This window comes from Homo sapiens, chromosome 13, assembly GCF_000001405.40.
Source record: "Homo sapiens chromosome 13, GRCh38.p14 Primary Assembly".
NCBI lineage: Eukaryota > Metazoa > Chordata > Mammalia > Primates > Hominidae > Homo > Homo sapiens.
The window spans coordinates 70250649-70255940 of NC_000013.11; the positions used below are offsets into that span (position 1 = coordinate 70250649).

Consider the following 5292-nt stretch of genomic DNA (forward strand, 5'->3'; position numbering starts at 1 on the left):
TTCTATTACCTTAAGTGTCCTTTTCAGTTTGGAAGACAATTTCGAGTCAATGAAGCTGTTACAGGTAGTTAGGCATACGCAGAGCAGGAGAGGGCTATCCCCCACCCACTACAAATGTCGGGTGATGGTTCAACAATTATCACATTGCTTCTCTAAAAATCGTAATTCGGCAACCAGGGAGAGACAATGTTTTTTTTTTTTCTTTCTTTTTTTTTTTTTTTTTTTGAGATGGAGTCTCGCTCTTGTCACCTAGGCTGGAGTGCAATGGCGCAATCTCAGCTCACCGCAACCTCCGCCTCCCGGGTTCAAGTGATTATCCTGCCTCAGCCTCCCGAGTAGCTGGGATTACAGGCATGCACCACCTTGCCTGGCTAATTTTGTGCTTTGAGTAGACACGGGGTTTCTCCAAGTTGGTCAGGCTGGTCTTGAACTCCCAACCTCAGGTAATCCGCCCACCTTGGCCTCCCAGAGTGCTGGGGTTACAGGTGTGAGCCACCGTGCCCCGCCAAGATACAATCTCCTGATGGTCCACACCTGTTAATATTAAAAGTGTTCAATGAATGCAAGCCCCAGGGAGCAGCAGCTACTTGGGCATGTGTGTTAAGAGACAAATGGTGAAGTATGACGTTCTGGGGACACGTGGCATCGGAAAACGGAAAAAAGCCTCAGATGGGCATGTATAGCTTTCTGAGGACACTGCGTGTGCTCAATCCTAAGGGTAAGGAAAGCACTGCTCATGCGGAAAACCCACCTTGGGGGAAGAATCATGGGAAAGAGGGGAAACTATTAAGTCCCAGAATCAGGTTAACAGGGTTCCTTTTTCTCTCTTTGACCTTCAGGCGCCCACTTAGATCTCTTCCAGGGGTTCTTTCCTTTCTTTCCTATTCTAAAGCATTTTTAATCAATTTCCACTCTTGCTCTGAAACTTGCCTTGGTCTCTTTTTCTACTTGATGCCCCTCAGTCGAATTCTTTCTTCTGAGGAGGCAAGGACTGAAGTTGCTACGGACCCATACAGATAGGCAGCCAGTAACAGGGTAACTCAGATCTCTGCCACCAGTAACAAAACTACCATGATACCTAAGTCATATTAACTTTATATCTTAAAAATCTGTCAAATTTTTTTTAACACTCCATAGTTCATGACCCTGTCATCTCTTGCTTCGGTTATTAATATATCCATATTTTCCATATCCATATTTCAGTCTTGAGCTTCATTTCTTTTATCATATTCTCAAATCTCTCATCATACTAATTATTCTAAATAGAAAATTTGTAATATGATATCCCTGTTCACAATCATTTATTGGCTTCCCATTATATCAGGATGAAAATTAACATGACAGGGCCTAGTATTCTTAATCTGTTCTTGCCTATTGCTTAAGTTTAATCTTCTGCCTGTGTATCGCTGAAACTTTGTTTCTTGAATTCTCATCTGCTTCCATTTCCCTGAAAAGAAGCATGCCTTCTCTCATTTTCATTGCTTTTCCTCATTCAGCTTTCTCTAACTGGACTATTTTTATGTATTTGCCCAAATGGCACTGGGGCAATATACTGATTCTCTTAATAAGTTTGGAAGTATAATAAATTAAGACAAATCTTAACTAATTTCTAAAACATCAGACTAAATTTTGGCTACCATATTGGGCTATAACAGTGGTTCCAACATGCAGGCCCTTAAATGTGCCATTTCTCTGCATTATTGAATGTTGAACAAAAGGTGTTTATGTGGCATTTATGCAATTCACAGGAGGGATTTAATTGATTTTAATTCTCTGTGGGAAACATAATTTAACTTACTAAATCCTTAGTTCTGAAAACAACAAAGACAATGGGAAATGGATTTGTATATGCAGAACATAAAAATTTTAGTCTATCTTGTGGTAGTACATAAATATATGTGCCTTTATATGAAAATTATTGTAGCATAACTCTCAGAATCTTAACAGTTTATTTTATAGAAAACTCGTAGTAGTAAATTCCTCTTGAATATCACAGAGAAAGTATTGTTTAACAGTCTTTGTGGTAAGTCATCATTTAGAACTACAATTGAGCAGAAAAGTATTACATAGATTTTTTTCAGAGTGCCATTTAACCCTGAGATTATGAACACTGAGTAACAGAAATTATTTAACATAATTGAGATATGAAAATATTCAATAATTGTACGAACTCTTGACAGGTTACCTAATTTAGGAATCAAATTATATTATTATTATAGGTAATGCTCTCAAATACTTATGATTCCAAAAATATGAATCAGGCAAATTTTACACATTCTATAAGCAATCTTTCTCATAGAATTACTATGCTGTAGCATAAGAGTGAACATTGACATTTGGAAAAACATAGCATATAGTAAAATCCCAGTTTGTCTTTTTTTGGTAAGTACATCAAGTTTTAAAAGCAAAGTGTCAGTTGCTTTTTCAGGAAAGTAAGCTTGCAAAATTATTTTTTTAAATAAGATAATGAAATTGCTTTAGAAAACAGTTTTCTCCATATAATAGGTCTCTAAAAATTAGTTTTGATAGATATCAAGGTACTGATTTCATATGACACCTATGATCTATGAACATTAATGTTTTTGTAAAATTTGGATAGGTTTTATAAAAATTGCCAAATTAAAATATCAAATTGTTTAAAAATGACATAAATATTAACTAATTTGATCAATTTTATGTAGGAGCCATGTGTCTTCTTCAGAACTGTGAATTGACTGTCTTCATACATCGCTTGATGTGTAAGAAATTTAATTTTAGTGTTTTGAAAAATCTAGCATCTTTGTAAGCATGATAAAGGGGTGATAAATACAACTTCAGAATTGGCTTATTTTCAACTTTAATGGGTTTATTGAGATGTGATTCATATAGCCTATAATTTGCCTATTAAAGTGTGTAATTCAATGTCTTACCTATAGTCATAAGGTTGTGCAATCATCATCACAATCTAATTTTAGAACATTGCCATATCTCCAAAAGGAAATCTTATAAACATTAGTAAGCAGTCAATCTCCATCCCGCTTCCACCTCCCAGCAGCTACTAATCTACATCCTGACTTTATGTATTTGTCTATGTGATGTTTCAAATAAATGGAATTATGCCATATGTTTCCTTTTGTATCTGACTTCTTTCATTTAGCTTAAGGCTTTCAGGTTAATCCGTGTTTTTGCAAATATTGGTAGGATACTCCTTTTTTATATTTAAATAATATTTAATTGTATGGACATACAACATTTGTTTACTTGTTTATTGATGAACATTTGAGTTATGACACTTTAGACCATTATAATTTATGCTGCCATAAACATTTGTGTACAGGTTTTGTGTGGACACGTGCACATGTCTCTTGATCATATAGTTAGAAGTGAAACTGCTGGGTAATATGATATCTCTGTGTTTAACCATTTGGAGACCTGCCAGACTGCTTTCCAAAGTCACTGTACCACTTCACATTCCCACCAGAAAAGGGTGAGGATTGCTTGTACTTGTTATTAATTGTCTTTTTCCTTATAGCAATTCTAGTGGGTGGGGAAGTGGTATGTCATTTCAGTTTTGATTTGAATTTACCTGTTGAGTAATGCAGTTGAGCAGCTTAATTTCTACAAATTCACGAATTCATCAAATCTCCTTCAGTTATTGATTTATTTGGGTTTCACTATTGACTATGATGTGTCTGGGTGTGAATCTCCTTGAGTTTATTCTACTTGGAGATTCTATTACCTGTTTTTTTGTTGTTGTTTGCTTGTTTTTTCTATGCATGAGTTACACATTATTTACATGTCCTCAATTTTTCTTGTTGCTAAAAATCGGATATATTAGATAAAATATTGCAATAATACTCAATAATGATCTCTTACTGGAGGTTATGTTCTTTGCTTGTCATCTATTTGTCTGGAGGCTTGGCTGTACAAATTCTGTAGTGTACATCCCCTGCAGTGTTCAGTCTCTCATGTACCTGCTCTGTTTCCTTTTCTCTCCCTCTATCATTTATTCTAGCTACCCAGAAATTGCCCCTGGGCTGACATAAGCATTTACTGGTCAAAAGTTGTTCTTAAGCTACTTTACCTCATTAGATTTTTACTCTTCACTAGTGCATGTTTGTGTGGCTTGAAGGCCACACAAACAGCTCTGGAAGTTGCTTTTTTGCCCCCCATTTCCCTATAAATAGAGGTTTGGATGTTTGTTCTATGATCACTTCTAAACTTGCATAGTCTTGGGAATGCACACAGTCTTCCAGACTGTAGGTGATAGGTGTAATTTAGTTTTTATTCTCACTTAATAGAATTCCTCCTGCTGATAGCAGAAGACAGACAAATTCCCAGGCAGAAAGGGGCAGGTGCCCCGTGAAACTCGACTTTCAAGCCAACGACAGTCTGAAGTCTGAAAACTGGGCTGCCAGTTCTGGTTGCAGTCTGCGACCCGGAGTGAGAACTTCCTTGATGTCTTTTAGCCAATTGAATGGTGCTTTTTCCAGGCCTGCCCATGGACCAATCAGCATGCACTCCCCCATTCTGAACCCATAAAAACCCCAGACTCGGTGTCACTTAGGGACTTTCTTCCTTCGCCTCGGGGTATGGGCAACCCATCTTGGGTCCCTTCTCCTGTCGAGAGCTGTTCTGTGGCTCAGTAAGACTCTTCTCTACCTTGCTCACTCTCCAGTTGTCATGTAACACCATTCTTCTTGGATGCAGGACAAGAACCCGGAACCATAGGTGCGAACACAGCTGTAACACTGTAGCCCTTCCACGTGACAGGAAGCAGTGGTAAGGCCAGGCCAGCCCAGGAGCCATGGACCTGAGTGGGGCGGTGGGACCAAATGAGCTGTAACACAAACCAGCTAAAACACATTCCTGGCCTGCCCGCCGAGCTGCCGGCAGTGACACCCTCCTATTTGCCAGACTTGGAGAGAAGAGCTGTGACCCTTCTGGGCACCCAAATCTTGGGACTCCCCGAGCCAGAGATACGAAACGGCGTTAACACCTCTTGGGGCTCCACGGTTGCTGGTCTCTCTTAATCTTCGGACACCAGTGCATTCCTCTAGTCCAGACAGCGGCGCCCAAGGCAGAAGCCGCTGGAGGCACAGTTGGTCCAGCTACAGTCTCTCTCGCTTGGAGCTTGTGCCTGTGCCTGTGCCAGTGCCTGGAGCTGCCCGCCCCACCGCAGAAGCCAGTGCACCTGGCTGTGAGCAGTGGCAGGACCCTGTGCTCCCTCGCTTACACATCCCTCATCGCTCCATGCTGAGCTCACCCGCGGGGAAGCGTGGGATCTGGGCTGGTAGCATGAACCAAGCACAG

General features: G+C 39.7%; 1 annotated feature.

Moving 5' to 3' along the window:
* Positions 4310–5010: an enhancer, noted in NCBI's record as "H3K27ac-H3K4me1 hESC enhancer chr13:70829090-70829790 (GRCh37/hg19 assembly coordinates)". NCBI's record gives its function as "activates a minimal SCP1, AML or CMV promoter by ChIP-STARR-seq in primed H9 embryonic stem cells {active_cell/tissue: H9 hESC(primed)}" and the evidence as "EXISTENCE:reporter gene assay evidence [ECO:0000049][PMID:30033119]".